This window comes from Homo sapiens, chromosome 11, assembly GCF_000001405.40.
Source record: "Homo sapiens chromosome 11, GRCh38.p14 Primary Assembly".
Taxonomy (NCBI): Eukaryota; Metazoa; Chordata; class Mammalia; order Primates; family Hominidae; genus Homo; species Homo sapiens.
Window position 1 is genome coordinate 129,109,431 of NC_000011.10, and position 16,536 is coordinate 129,125,966.

The 16,536-nt window shown below is 34.5% G+C and overlaps 1 protein-coding gene across 13 annotated transcripts in view; it reads right to left on the reverse strand.

Annotated features, from left to right (window-relative positions):
* The window catches only part of ARHGAP32 (Rho GTPase activating protein 32), a 314,573-nt gene that overhangs the window by 144,371 nt on the left and 153,666 nt on the right, over window positions 1-16,536 (reverse strand). For 7 of the 13 annotated variants that reach the window (XM_047427927.1, XM_047427926.1, XM_017018595.3 and 4 more), the window contains exons 3-5: window positions 15,373-15,464; window positions 14,458-14,499; window positions 14,016-14,100 (exon numbers count right to left, since the gene is read on the reverse strand). In XM_047427927.1, the coding sequence (XP_047283883.1) occupies window positions 14,016-14,100; window positions 14,458-14,499; window positions 15,373-15,464 (219 nt within the window). Of the gene's footprint in view, window positions 1-14,015; window positions 14,101-14,457; window positions 14,500-14,857; window positions 15,031-15,372; window positions 15,465-16,536 lie in introns of those variants that run through there. The other 6 variants (XM_047427929.1, NM_001378025.1, XM_047427930.1 and 3 more) reach the window with 2 other exon arrangements.

Sequence of the window (16,536 nt, forward strand, 5' to 3'; positions counted from 1 at the left end):
TACATATGCAGTAGTGTAATTGTTGGATCATATGGTAGTTCCTTTTTTAGTTTTTTGAGAAATCTCCATACTGTTTTAAATAGTGCTTGTACTCATTTATATTCCTGACAACAGTGTTTAAGAGGTCCCTTTTCTCTGCATACTCACTGGCATCTATTATTTTTTGTATTAAAATATAGCCATTCTAACAGGAGTAAGATAATATAACTCATTGTGGGTTTTGATTTGTATTTCCCTGATGATTAGTGATGTTGAGTATTTTTCATGTATCTGTTGGCCATTTGTATATCTTCTTTGAGAACTCTATTCTTATCCTTTGCTCACTTTTTAATGAGATTTGTGTTTTTTTATTTTTTGGTTTTTGTTTGTTTTGTTTTTGTTTTTGCTGTTGATTTGTTTGAATTCCTTGTATAACTCCCTTGTGGGATATCATTTACAAATATTTCCTCCCACTCCACCAGCTGTCTCTTCAGAGACTCTGTCGATTGTTTCCTAGCTGTGCAAAAGGTTCTTAGTTTAATAGAGTATCATTTGTCTATTTTTGTTTCTGTTGCCTGTGCTTAGTTCTCAGCCATAAAATCTTTGCCAAGACCAATATCCAGAAGTGTTTCCCCTGTTTTCTTCTAGTAGTTTTATAGATTCAGGTCTTACATTTAAGTCCTGAATCCATCTTGGGTTGATTGTTTTATATGATGAGAGATAGGGGTTTAGTTTCATTCTTCTACATGTGGACATCCACTTTTCCCAGCAACATTTATTGAAGAGGGTGTGTCCTTTATCAATGTATATTTTTGGCAACTTTATAAAAAAAATTTGGCTGTAAACACATGGATTTCTTTCTGGGTTTTGTATTCTGTTCCATTACTCTACATGTTTGTTTCTATACCAATACCATTCTGTTCAGGTTACAATGCCCTTGTCATATTTTGAAGACAGGTAGTGTGATGTCTCCAGCATTGTTCTTTTTGCTAAGGATTTCATTGGCTATTCAGGTTCTGTTTTGGTTCCATATAAATGTTAGGATTGTTTTTTCTATTTATGTGAAAAATGGCATTGGTATTTTCATAGACATTGTATTGAATCTACAAATTGCTTTGTACAGTATGGTCATTTTAACAACATTAATTCTTCTAATCCATGAGCATGGGAGGTCTCCATTTGTTTGTGTCCTCTTCAATTTCATTCATCAGTGTTACACAATTTTACTCATAGAAATCTTTCACCTTCTTGGTTAAATTTATTCCTAGGTTTTTTGTTTAGTTATTGTAAATACGATTGCCTTCTTCTTTTCATTTTCAGCTATTTCATTACTGCTATATAGAAATATTACTGATTTTTGTATGTTAATTTTGTATCTGCAAATTCACTGAATTTATTTATCAGATCAAAAAGTTTTCTGTGAAGTCTTTAAGGTTTTCCTTAATGTAAGATCATATTTGCAAAGAGGCACAATTTAACTTCCTCTTTTCCAATTTAGATGCTTTTTTATTTTTCTCTTGCCTGATGGCTCTGGCTATGAATTCCAATACTACGTTGAACAGGAGTGGAAAAGTTGGCATCCTTGTCTTGTTTCAGTTCTTAGAGGAAAGGCTTTCATCTTTTCCCCATCCAGTATGATGTTAGGTGTTGGTCTGTCATATATGACCTTTATTATGTTGAAGTATGTTCCTTCTGTGTCTGGTTTGTTGAGAATTTTTATCATGAAGGATTGTTGAATCTCTCAATTTTTTTCTGTGTCTTTGAGAGGAAACGATGGTTTTTGTCTTTCAGTCGGCTGATGTGATGTATCATGTTTATTGATTTGTGTATGTCAAAACATCTTTGCATCCCTGGAATAAATTCCACATGATCATGGTGTCTTATTTTTTGATGTGCTGTTGGATTCAGTTTGCAAGTACTTTGTTAAGTATTTTTGCATCTATGTTTATCAGGGATATTGATCTGTAGTTTTCGGATTTTGGTGTTATGCTAATGCTGGCCTCATAGAATGAGTTAGGGAGAATTCTCTCCTCTTCAATTCTTTGAAATAGTTTGAGGAGAGTGATGTTAGTTCTTTGTAAGCTTGGTAGAAATCAGCAGTGAAGCCATCCATTCCTGAGATTTTCATTGTTAGAAGACTTTTTGTTACTAATTCAATCTCATTACTCCTTATTGGTATGTTCCGGTTTTCTAAGTCTTCCTGATTCAATTTTAGTAGGCTGCACGTGCCCAGAAATTTATCCGTTTCTTCTTGGTCTTCCAACTTCTTACTGTATAGTTGTTCATGACAGTCTCATGACCTTTTGTATTTCCGTAGCATCCATTGTAATGTCTATTTTTCTTTTATTTTTTCCCCCTTTCTTTTTTTGAGACAGAGTCTCACTCTGTAGCCCATGCTGGAGTGCAGCAGCATGTGATCTCAGCTCACCACCAACTTCCACTTCCTGGGTTCAAGCGATTCTCCTATCTCAGCCTCCCAAGTAGCAGGGACTATGGCACATACCGTTATGCCTGGCTAATGTTTGTATTTTTAGTAGAGATGGGGTTTCACCAGGTTGGCTAGACTGGTCTCAAAACTCCTGGCCTGAAGTGATCTGCCTGCCTCGGCCTCCCACCTGAGGTCAGGAGTTCGAGACCAGCCTGATCAATAAGGTGAAACCCCGTCTCTACTAAAAATACAAAATTTAGCCAGACATGGTGGCTTGCACCTGTAGTCCCAGCTACTCGGGAGGCTGAGACAGGAGAATTGTTTGAACCCAGGAGGCAGAGGTTGCAGTGAGCCAAGATTGCACCACTGTACTCCAGCCTGAGTGACAGAGCAAGACTCAAAAAAAAAAAAAATTTCACCATTAGTCTGAGGAACTGATGGAGGTTCCTTTATAAGTGACTAGATGCTTTTCTCTGCCTGTTTTCAGAATTCTTGTCTTTCACTTTTGTCAGTTTTACTATGATGTGCCTTGGCCTTTTTGAATTGTATCTATTTGGGAATTTCTGAGCTTCCTGTATCTGCATATCTAAATCTCCTGCTAAAACTAGAAAGTTTTAGTTAGTTTGTTTTTTTTTTAAATTAGTTTTCTATCCCTTTCACTTTCTCTTCACTTTCTGGGACACCAAAAATTCAAATATTTGGCTGCTTCATGGTACATTAAAAACTTTCCATGCAGATATCCTTTCTTCTCAGTGATTTTCTTAAAGTTATCTGGGAACTCATCTGCTGCCTCTTGGGTGACAGAAGCAGGTTCTCCTGTTACCCTGACATTTTTAAAGCCAACCTCTTTCTAAAATTACCAAACCATCCTTTGCTGGCATTAAATTCTCCAGCTTTAGACTCTTCACCTTCCTTTTACTTTACATTGTCAAAATATAAATCAAAATACCAATCAAAAGCAAATGACTGCTTTTCTCAAATCATATTATAGTCTATAAGTATGCCCTTCTTATAGCAATCCTGCACCGACATAAAAGCTGCATTTTCAATATGAGATAAAAAGGTATTTCACAAAAAGTGCAAGATGTTCACACCTACTGCTATAGCTGCAATAACAGCTTCATTAATTTTCTTTTTTAAAAAATAATAGTCCTTACAACAGATTGAAATGGCAGACAAATGTGGCTGTAGACCTCATTTATAGTTCATATCAAGCAATTTACCTCTTATTACAATGTCATGACTTTTCTCTGCTTCTTGGGAGCATTTCCAGCATCACTAGTAGCATTTTGTATGAGTCTCGTGGTGTTATTCAAGGTTTATGGTATTGCACCAAATACAATGAAAAGTATGGAAGAACCATAAGAGATCACTTTTTACTGCAATACACAATGCACATACAGAGATGATTAAGTATCACACAGTGTTTTAAGTGGATCCTTGTAACACTTGAATTCACAATAGCAACAGGAGGTGGCTACAAAATTATTACAGTAGTACAGTATGTACTACATTAAACTGTATGCAGTTATAATTTAATACTGCACCTTTATGTTTGTTTACATTCCTCTTGATTAGGAATCGCACCATGTTCAGTCTGTGTTTATGTAAGTCTTGATAAATTTTAACTTTTTATAATATATTTGTGTATTTTATGGTAGTAAGCTATAAAATAGACTAGTATTTATATATATATTTTGCATTCATGACATACCTTTTTCTTAGTTTTTTTCCAGATTTCTAGGCTGCATGGTTCATCTGCAAGTTTTTTCAAATTGCTGCAAAACTCTAAAAAAATTTCCAATATATTTATTTTTTAAAATTCACATATGAGTGGACCCATACAGTTCAAACCCATGTTGTTCAAGGGTCAGCTGTACCTGAGATTTAAGTAGGGATCGCTATGTATTTAATGAATAAACAAACATTGTCTTCTCCCTGAAATATGGTGCTTAGTTTCAAAACTGAATTCGTCATCTTTCCTCACATATTCTCCTCCTCCTCCTGAATTCACAAAACAAACTGTACTACTATTCACCCAGCTGACCAACCTAATCGCCCTAGATTCTGCTACTTCTCCTCCTTTCCACACATGCTCTCTTTTTACATTTCCAGGCTCAAGGTCTCATTTTTCACCTTTGATTCTTTAGTCTCTCATGTCTGCTAACACTTATCTCTTACAGTCATCCCCTTTTTTCCTACTCCCCACTGCTAATTCCCTGGTTCTAGGCCCCCTTACATCTGGATAATTACAACAGTATTTCAAATGGTCTCTCTCCATCTCCATCACACATTGATCATGGTACTCCCTTCTCAAAATCCTGCAATACTTTCTCAGTTCTTACTAAGAAAGCAATTGATGGTCTCACTTATAAGAGGGAGCTGAACAATGAAAACACAAGCACCTTTGTCTGTACTATTTTTCCTTGGCTGAGGGTTCTTCACTTCTATCTCTGCATATCCAAATTCTATTCAATCTTCAATAAAGATGAAGACTTTTGAATGCCACAGGACATAATCTCTCTCACCACTGAATACCTACAAGCACTTTTATAACATTTATAACATTGTTTTTCTCTTAAACTTATTGGTATATTACTTGTTTTCTCTGAGGAAAGATTATCTGCTTCATCAGTGGTACTCACATAGGTGGCTAGCACATACAAGATATTCAATAAAACTATCCTAAGAGAACTGTGGGTTTTAATACACCCTATACATGTCTGAATATTAATGTATTTTATGCAGTACCTGAACTACATGTACAAAGACTATACACTATGAAGGACTGAACTATATTTGCCTGTAGAAATTTATGACAGCAACTCAGTGATTTAAATAATTTTCACTTCTCAATTTAATAATATTTCAGTCCTTCATCTATTAGAAATGGCAAACAGGATTTCCAAATCCCACATTTCTAAATTTCTTCCAAATCTATCTTTGGAGTTATTTTTCCTGTATTGAGTTCACTTTTCTATCACCATGGAAACCAATTACAATTAGTGTTGTTAGGATCTTTAAAAATACAACTCTATTCAGCAAGTCTTCAAATGTTCAGAAAAGTTCTTTCTCCATATGGAGAATGGAAATCAGTAGCATAGAGCAGGGTAAAAATATACCACCCACCCACAGAAGAAACCATTCACCAAAGCCTAATCAACGGATTGCAAATGGAACACGGAAAGAGTTCTTTTCTTTTATTCATCTTTTGTAGTTCTATAATGGCTGCAATTTCATGTGTCATACCTATGGGGTTTGTAAACAAGTTTTCTTTCACCTCACAGCCTGTGTAGCAGACGTGGAGACACAAAAAAATGATTTCTGTTGTATAATATTATGTGGTCCACCCACCCTACCTTCAACCTCCTAATATTTGACACTGAAAATACTACTTTAAAACTACTGAGTTCAGGACGCCAAGAGGAAGAATAATTCTACAGCAGAATTACATCTTACATGGTTAATAAGTGAAATAAGTTCTAATTCCAGCACATAAGGCGAAAATCAATAAAAGGCAAAATTACCCTTCAGATTTACCAGGAAAAAGCTAGAGACCTACAAGCATCTTAACAGACCTAAGAGTTTTTCTTCCCAGAATGGGAATAGAGCACTGTTTTCTCAGCTGAGTATCTGATAAAGTAACCGATGTGCTCATCTTTAAACACTAGAATCACCATCAGTTCACTGTGATGCCCATCATATGAAGAATACATGGAAAATGAGACCAAATAACACGACAGCAGAATCACAGCCCTCATCTTACTGATGCTCACTCAAGAACATATACTTGTCAGGAAACTGCTTCATACATATTTTCACATTTCAGCATGGTCAGGGCTTTCTAAGCAAAGAGCACTGGCACCTGGGCTAAGGGACTGAACTTAACCCAGTAACCCTAAAGATGGAGCCCTCTAGAGATAAAAGTTTTCTCTCTCCCCCAAGCCATGTTTACATTCCAGAGTGTTTGTGAAATACAGATCCTTGCTTCTTTTTCCCAGAGATTTTGTTTACATTTCAGAGCAAAGGTCTCTCTCTCTCTCCATCTCGAGAAAGGAGAATGGGCAGGAATGCCAGCTATCCTGTATAAGCTTCAAGTTTCATAAGTGCAGAGTTCTCTTGTGGTACCAAATCCCACTTGTAAACACAGGATATCTCTGGTTGTCACCATATCACTTTATGGAGAACCAGGGCCTAGGGAACCAACATAAGTTACTTTTCAAGTAAACAAGGGCTTAATTTCTGGTCCAGAGACTTGATGTTTCTGCTGGGGGAAAGGGAGGCTACAGAGAGACAGAGAAAGAGAGAGTGAGAATGTGTGTAGTGTGTCTGTAGTTGTGGGAAGCCAACTTGTTAGCTTACTAGTAGGAAAACATCTCAGACTCTTCACAGTTTCAGACTCAACAATACTATAAGTAAACTGCCTGTAAATTATGGCTGACTCCACTATAGATATATTTTTTCACAGTCCAACCACTTTTACACATCTAATTCTTGGACTGAATAATCTCAAACGAGATACAGTGAAAATCCAGTACTTAGATGACAGTGGAACTGATGACTCACTATCTGAACATTTCATTTCAAATTCTCTCCTGAAAGGACAATGATTTCCTTGTATAAGAGGGAGTATACTGCAGAACATGCAGAAAAGTAAGGCTAAGATTTTTATTTCTTTTGAGGAAAACTAAACTTTGTGGCCAGGGTGAGAATAAAATTAGCATGGGTTTTATTTCAAATGATTACACATGTAGTAACAGTACTTCTGTATAAGATTTTTTTAAACTGAAAATATGTACAAGTTAATTTTTCAAACTGCAAGTGTCTTAACAAAATGGGGAGAGATAACCTTTTCATTAATTTATTTTTATTAATGATGAAGGCTTAACTGATAGGAAGTACTCAGGTGAAGTCAGTATCCACTGCCTCAATCCTGACAACACTGTCCTTGGGTCATCAGGACAAGTATGACTTCCCACATTTTAAAGATGATTATTTGACTTTACCTAAGTGCTTCCCTAGAACTTCTGCCTTTCTCTAAAGCCCTTTAAAATGTACTGCACAATTATTATGTCATTTAATTCCCATAATACTTTATGATATAGTTAGAATAGATATATTTGTTTCTATTTTACAAATGAGGAAACTGACGACCAGAGACATTAAGAATTTACTTAAGATCACAATGGAAATTACTTAAGGTTACACTGCAGTATTATGTATCATACTTTTTAACCTTCAACTACATTAAAGATGCGAGATACTCTAGAACCATCATTTACTCCTTTTTGTTAAAGTATTAGTTGAGTCAGTCTATTCTTTTCTAGCAATACAAAAGAACATGCAGAATGGCTCTAGTGTCAGGCCGCCTTGATTCAAATACAGTCCACAAAACGGTTTAAGAACTTGAGTAAGTTCTTAAACTCTTTTTACCTAAATTTCTGTACCTGAAATTGTTGTGGAGCGTAATTGAGACAATGTGGAAACAGTATTTGATATAATGCCTGGCTCAGACAAAACATTCAATAAATATTGGCTTGTATTTTTATTGTAATTCTGATTACTACTTTTTAAATGAAACTTCAGGCTTTTAAAATTGTTTGCATTATTACCCCTCAATATTCCTACACTCAGGTCAAACTTTACTACTTCTTTCCGCCTTCCCAGCATCAAGGCAGAAATGCATGTAATGATAGAAAGCCATGACAGCATTTTCAAGTCCCTTGCAGGCAGCTTGCATATAGAAAGCTCGAGACACAGATATTAAATTCATACTTTTCCTATTCCTTATTTATACAAAAACCTGAACTCTACCATTCAGGTTAATTTAACTTAATGTTTTGTATGAAATTGGATAAAAAGAAACACATCAAGTGATAACTTCAGATAACCAGATGATAAAGAAAATACAAATCAAACATATCCTTTTCCCCCCCTACACACTAGATGGCGGTACAACACAAAGCACAGCAGGAACAGCGCTGCCTCAAACTCATCATTTCTTTGCGTGTTACAAGAGATTCCCCCCGCTTCTTACTGAAAAATATTTTGTGAAATGTGAATTAACCTTTGTTTTTGGACTGCAGAATAATACAACAGGGAAAATAAGTGCAGTAACAATAAATTTGCAGAATTTTAAACTACATGTGGCTTTACTTAAAACAAAAAGCCCCTTCTAGTAATTATTTTTTTGTGAAATTTAAATTTCTCTAAACTAAACATAAGACATTTATGAATCAAAACCTGTAGAATTTGGCCAAACTACTATTCACAGGAAAATATCCAAACTTAAATGCACTTACTAAAAAGTAATACCTAAAAACAAATGAATCATTAACAATACCTGTTGCATTCTATTTCTCTAAAGCAGAGATTAAGTAGTATATGTTGTGTAATATTAATATTTGACAAAGTTGGTTTATGACGAAGCTAGTTTTTGAGAGGCAAATCCTAGTAGGCAATACGCATTATTCTCAACTCTTTTCTGGAAAAAAAAATATAAGAAAAACTAAACTTTCAATTCAAGAAACAAAAGGAAAGTTTATGCTTAGAAATTAATGGTATGAAAAATACAGAAAAAAAAATTTGGTTGATCAGTAAAACCATAAGCTGGTTCCTTGATAAGACCAAGATTTAATAATATCTTGTGTACAACTTATAACCCATGAATTTAAAAAGCTAAATTAAATGAACAATTTTTAAGAAAATATAAATGATAAAAATTGATCTAAGGAGATACAAAAGAACCTAATGAGCAATAATCAAATCATAAGTTGAAATGGTAAGTAAAGATGGCAAAGATTAAGTCCCCAGTTGGGAACCAGTTTCAAAAGGTTTTAACAGGAAAATTCTACTAACCCTTCAAAGAACAGGTAATTCCCATTTACACAAACTATTCCAGTGCATTTATTTAAAAGGGGTGGAGAATGGGATAGGGGAGCAGAAATTCCCCAGACTTAGGCTAGTGGGACAAGTATAGCACACAGGTTAACTTCACCAACAAACACAGATGCAGAAATTATAAAATCTTAGTAGAGTGTAAAAAAGGAATTTGTTTTTAAATATATATATAACTCAGCATAATGTGTCTCAGGAATATAAAGATGTTTCAACAAGCTACTTCTATTACATGAGCAATTATCTGTACTAATTTTTACAGATATTAATAGCTTATTCAAGCTCCATGGAAGTAGACTAAAATAAGAATATGGCATGGTACAACCTATCCTCCCCCGTGCTGTTATATCTCTGTTCCTCTCCACCTTATCACAACCTCAATCAGAACTCATAGTTCATCTACAATTTCTTAGCTTGAAGGAACATTAGCTGTCACCTAGTATTCTAGGGTATCTAGGAACCGTACTTCCTTTTCAGTGTGAAGATAAGGAAAGCAAGACCAAGGCTAACTGCACCAGCTGGTCATACCCATTCTACACCACACCAGCACCTTTCTCCTCAGCATATTATCTCTCCTATACTACACATTACAACTGAATGTACCAAATTGAGACTTAAACAGGATGGTTACATAATTTGTTTTATAATAAATACTCATAAGGAATATATATTCTTATCATATAAGAACAAATTTAAAATGATTAATAAAAACAAAATAGTAAAACAGCATTTTAAAAACCAATTGTATCTCTTCTTCAAATATAAACTCATTCATCCATTCATCTCATTCATCTATTATTCATTAAACAAATATTTATTGAGTAGTTTTTATGTGTCAATCACTGTTCTAGATGTTGAGGGGAAGAAAATAAATAATAAAATATTTAGCATGCCGAATGGTGTTAAGTGGTATGGAGGGAAATAAAACAAAGAGAGGGAGATGAGGAATGCTGGTGACTATAGTTGCAATCTTATGTAAGGAAGGTGCAGTCTGGGAAGATAGCACTGGAGCCAGTACTTTTAAAAGAGGAGGTAGCAAGGTGTGTGGCTGTCCTAGAGGAGCATTTTAAGTAAAGGAAACAAAAAGTACCAAGGCCCTGAGAAGGGGGTGAGCATACTGGCAGAAAACAAAGAGGCTACTGTGGCTGGATCACCCTGTCTGAGGGGAAGAGAAGAAAGATGAGGTCGGAAAGGTAAGGGTACACTCTGTAAATCCTTGTAGAGAAGTTTCAGAAATCTGGCTTTTACTCTGAATAAGATGAAAACTAACTGGAGAGTTTTTAAAAAGTGACATGATTGGACTTACATTTGAAAAGAATCATTCTTGCTGCTGTGCCAAATATAGAAGGCTATTGAAATAATCCTCCCCAAAAGACAATGCTTTAGTGTAAGGTGATAGCAGAGAAGCAGGTGGGCATGGTTAGATCCTGGATTTATTTTAAAGATGGAGCCAAAAAATCTGCTGATGGACTGGATGTGAGGACTGACAGAAAGAAAGATGCCCAAGATGCTCCACGGTTCTTGGCTGGCCTCGGGAACTGAAAGGATAGAGTTGCTATTTACCAAGATGGGAAGTCAGCAGAAAGAGCAGGTCTGAAAGACTGTTCTTGGCACGCTGCAATGATTGAGGTGTTATTAGGCATCCAAGTGAAGATGCAGGGAAGTCAGTTGGATATACAAGGCTGGAATTCAAAGAAGAGATCATAAAATTGTCCTTTGTACATTACATATCATTATATGGTAATGATAGTACTGACCCAGTAAAAGTACTGACATGTCTAAATTGTTTTTTAAGCAACTGTGTCTTTCAGACTAAATAAAATTGATCATTGGAATTTCTAACATATAGGATTAAAAATAACTATTTCATTCCAGAACTAAAAGCCAGAAAGTTAAAGATTATTTTGTCTGGATTTTTAAAATGTAGAAGACGTTAACATCTCTGTCATACTAGGATATGATGGCCAACTGCAATTATAAACTTTCAAGATCTGAAGAGAAGAAAGAGCTATAAACATAAAGACAATGAATCTGTAAATCTAAGAGAAATTTCTAAGATCAGAGTGAAAAAGAGAAGGTATGTCACTGCAGAATGTCCCAGAATTGGTACATATTAAAAAGCAACAACCAAGTTGGCCAATTGACAGTATGAATAACCTACTGATTTATACTAGAGCTGCCCAGCATACAACTGATGATCTATTATTGACACATTTTACTAAGTTTTCTTACTTGTTTTCTCTTCAGAACATATTCCAACCTTATATTGAAAATAAAGGATTCATTTCCCATAAACACGTTTAGAATCAAATGTGCTAATTTTTACCTATGTAAAAAGCAAGATGTTTATAAAATGATAAAGAATAAGAACTGAGACATAGGAACTTTATTTTAACTGCCTGTAGCAGATAGAACATAGGATTGTTTAGAGGTTAATATGATTGTTTTTTTTTTCTTTAAATGGCATTCAATCAGTCCATCAAAATGTAAAACCTTATACTAGCCAAAGAGAGAACAGCAACCCAAGATAAAAAACATAAGCATGTAAGTCAAGCCAGGATGCTATTATAGTTCTTTTGCTACACAACTTAGTTAATGGAAACTAATGTTTTCCTCCTGATGGTATCTAACATGGGTTGAATTCAACCAGAAGCAGAAGGCAAGCAAAACTGGTAGATGTGATATGTAGAGGCCAGTCTCCAAAGACACAGAACAGAGGCAGGACAAAACTGGGCAGGAGAGCTGTGCCAAGTAGAGGACCATAAACACAGAAAGAAGATTCTGGTGTGGACTGGCAAGGTGCAGCTGGGCTGGTTTCCTTTGAACCACCCCTATCTTCCATACTCCAGGCCTCCTGGTCAATCAATACAATCCTGAAACATCTCACTCATACACCTCATACAAGCAGGGTCACAAACTGAGTTAGTATCACATCTTTTTTTCCTTCTTCTGCCTGAGTAATGGAATTCTACAGGGTTGAAGTAAGTGCAATGGGGAAAGTGAAACATGGTGTGTAATCTAAAATGAAGATTACAGGTCTGTTCATTGGTAAAAGTCTACCAAATGTGTTCTCCCATAAAAATTAGACACAGTCCTCCAATTAAGAGGACTGGACTCTAATAACCAGCATTTAACAAAATCTCAGGAGAGCCAAACGCAGCTGAATAACAACTGTCTATTCCCTACCCACATCTTCAATGCAGCCATTATAAACTCTTTAAATATAAAATAATAAAAGTTTAGAACTATGATACTATTTAGCACAACCTCATTCACCTCATAAAGGAAATAAAACCAAAGAGGCTAAGCTACTTGCCCAAGGTCATAAATTTCCTAAGAAGCAAAAAGAAAATTAGAATCTATGTTTGTGAACTAAGGCCAGTGCTTTTTCTATTTCATTATACAATGTTTACCATTAACAGTTTTGTTTTTATTTTAAATCAGATGCTTTAGAGATTTCCTAACCTTTCATATAATGTTAACATTTAAATATTCTTTGGACTGTTTTTAGATCTCTAGCCTCCTATTTCTTTTCAATTTGCTAAAACTCCTCACAATGTTTACTGCCCCCAAAAGAGTTCATTCAACCTTGTAAAGATTAAAAAAAAAAGCAAAATAAATTAAGTAGAAAATAATTTACCTAAATTGCAAGCTGAGTAAACTAAATCACTCAAACAGATATATCAAATGCTTAACAGTCACAAAATGAAAAATGTACTCATTACTGTTTTCTTAATCAGTTCTTCCTGACCTAAGAAATTTATCATGTTAACTGCAATCTCAAGGATATACACACTAATGGAACAAAATATCCTTTGTTTGATGTCACAGCATTATAAATCTCTAGTGCTATTTTAAACTGTCAATTTATTTGAAATAGAAATGTCCTTCACTTTCATAAATCCTATAGATCAAATTCATCTCACTTGTTTATGAAATAAAATTACAAAAAGTAGCACACTGTGACACAAATCAGTCATGTCTCAGGAGTTTTCTTCTGGAGAGACAGTGGTTAGGGCAAGGACAGGAAGTGGACTACCTCTACATGTTGTGTGTAGAAATCAAGACTTTTTTTTCTATTAGCCTAATTTGAAAGACAATGTAAAGGGTGGCTTTTGTTCCCCTGGGGAAATATAATTTTTTAAATAACCACAATCTAGCTATTTTTTAGGTTTTTAATAGTTTTTTCACATTAATATATATATAATGTACAAAGGACATTAAGCTGCCAATGATATAAGAGCAAAGTATGTAGGTTGATGTCAAGTTAGATTCAATAATTTGTATGTGAATGAAAAGGCAGTAACAGTAAAAACATTTCTGAAAAAGAAGAATAAAGTGAGAACACTTTAATCTACCAAGTATCAAAGCTCACAACAATTAATTAAGACAAGTTTACATAATTTCAGAATAGAAAGTCACTACACAAAGCCATGGACATATGGACATGATACAGGAAAACGGAGGGGGACAGGACTGATTTTCCTTAACTGATACATGTTAGTGTGATGGTTACTTTCATATGTCAACGTGACATCAAGTATTTGTCAATAGAAGAGAAGAAAGATTTTACCTCAACCAATAAGACATCAATTAAAAAAAAAACTACTTCAAAGTGTCATCTATTAGATACAGATATATAGATAAGCATCTAGATATAAAGGTAAATGTGTAAATCTTAATTCAAGATGTAAGAAATATTTCAGTATACCTGTATGCTGCCGAACTCAACATTCTCATAATGGAAATGCGCACATTCAGCCATCTTCGGAAAGTGACCTTTAGTGAAGGGTAACCTGAAACACATGAAATAAATAAGAAACGAGATAGTGAAACAGTAAAAATTACTAAGTTTAAGGGAAAAATACAGTGGATTTAAGAGCTCATGCAAGCAAAAATATTTCGTAAGCACATGCGCATGAGCCACACATATCCGCACAAATCCTCTTAAAAATACACTGAGTCAGATGAGTATTACATTTAGTGTACAGATCAAAACCCAAAATAAAAAAAGCATCACCGTTATCTCCTAATTTTGACCCGAATCAATGTCCATAGAAAAACTGCTATTTTCGGCAAATGTTATGGAAACTGTGGACAGCCAGCTTCTAACCAGAAGCATTCCCAACACAAAGTAGAAAACCAGATTTTACCTGTGAATGTTGTCACAGCCCATCAGTCCTGGAGTGGTGGACCTGAACGCAGAATGAACATTTTTATCCTTGTCTTTCCTCTACTTACACATGAAGCATAACTATCTAACTCTACTAAGTGAAAAGATGGTTTTCCTCTTTAAAACTGATTACTTTCAGGTACACGATGAATAGTCCTTGTTCAAAATGGCACAGAGACCAGAAGAGTTTTGGATTTCAGATTTTTTCAGATTTTGGAATATTTGCATATATCTATGGGATATCTTGGGGCTGGGACCCAAGTCTAAACACAAAATTCATTTATATTTCAAATACATTTTATACAGAGCCTGAAGGTAATGTTATACAACATTTTAAATAATTTTGTGCATGAAACAAAATTTTAACTGTGAACACTCACGTAAGGTCAGGTGTGAAATTTCCCATTTGTGCTGCCATGTTGGCACTCAAAAAGTTTCACATTTTGGAGCACTTTGGATTTCATAGCTTCAGATTAGAGATGCTCAACCTGTATTTCACTTAACAGTCAACTCTTGGCATCTACTTCATGCTCCTCAAAGGCAAACCTGAAATCTAATAATCTCATAACTCAAACAATAAAGCTGATATTTCTGAATGAATGAGAGCATGCACTAAGGGTACCAAGAATGACATGGTTAGACTGTTCCTATCAAACAACTGTAAAATAACAGAAAATGACATAAGTTGCTTCAAGAACAAAAATAAAGTATATTTTAGAGGAGTGGATAATCTATAGGCCTATTCCACTGACTGCTGAGTCATAATTTAAGGATTAGCAGTTGCACAGTAACAGCATATTTTTGTAAAAAGTCTAAATAAAAGTTTTAAGAGAATTGAAGAACTGATTTCCATTCGTAGGAATTCATTTAGAATCCACTGTAAAGTTATACTCACTTTTTCACATGCTTAACCTTCATACTGGCTGTACTGCCACACGTCTTAAGAGTAAGATCTCCAGGAATCTCTGGAACATCTGCGCCTCTTGCCTTAAAAAATAAAGACAAAATATTTATGGCTATTACTTTAGTATTACACTTTTTTAAAAAGCAGGTTATAATTTATGTTAATAGTTCTGCTGACTTTTTACCTACAAAATATATCTTGGTTTAATAATCTTAAAATTACTGAGTTTTAATTATTAAGAATATAAATTATTCACCTGATTTAAATATTCAGCTTTACTGTATAAGGGAAATTTTTCTGTGAGAATAAGAATTTTCATGCTTTTGTAATCAAATTTCAAAACCAGCTATTATATACCTCAATACGAATTAAAATTTCCCCTGGAAGTTGTTGGAATAAAATAACCTTTGTTAAAATAATTAATAAACATTAAAATGCTAATATAAAAAAAGAAATTAGGAGATTAAAACATGTATTTCTCACACCAAAATCTGAACATGACATGTATATAATACTTCCAAATTACTCCTTAGTCTGTCACAGTTTTCATAGTGGTGAATTCTTAACTTCAGTGATACAATCAAGTATATCATTTTTTAAAAAACAAAATGAAAAATCAAAAAGTTCTTAACACTCTGGACAAAATAAAAGTCAAGTCCAAATATCTATTTTAAAAATAAATTTGTGCTATAATACCTATGACTTATAATTTTAAAAAAACTTAAGTTGAATTATGATAGCCCATGCCACATGATTCAATAGGGGCGAATAATGTGAGATAAGCAGTTAAAGTAAGTTGGGAGGAGAATCACAACCTTAACTTTTGCAATGTTTTCTTGTGAGAAAACAAAAAAGCCAGACAGTTTACATACTTTTTTTTTTAAATAGGACTTTTCAAAGATATGAGGTAACAATGCATGAACTTATGAGAATTAAACCTTGTTACATCATCACAGTGTGCTGGGTTCAATTTTCCTTTTTGAGGGTTTTTTTTTTCTTAGCAAATTTAACTATTTATAAGGGTTGGTATTTCATGATCAAGACTTCTTAGATATATTTTTACTCCTTCTTAGAGGTCTCCCAAAGAAAACAGAGTATTACTAGATTCTTTAGTAATGAAACAGAACTCATTCCATCTTGCGGCTACCACACGGA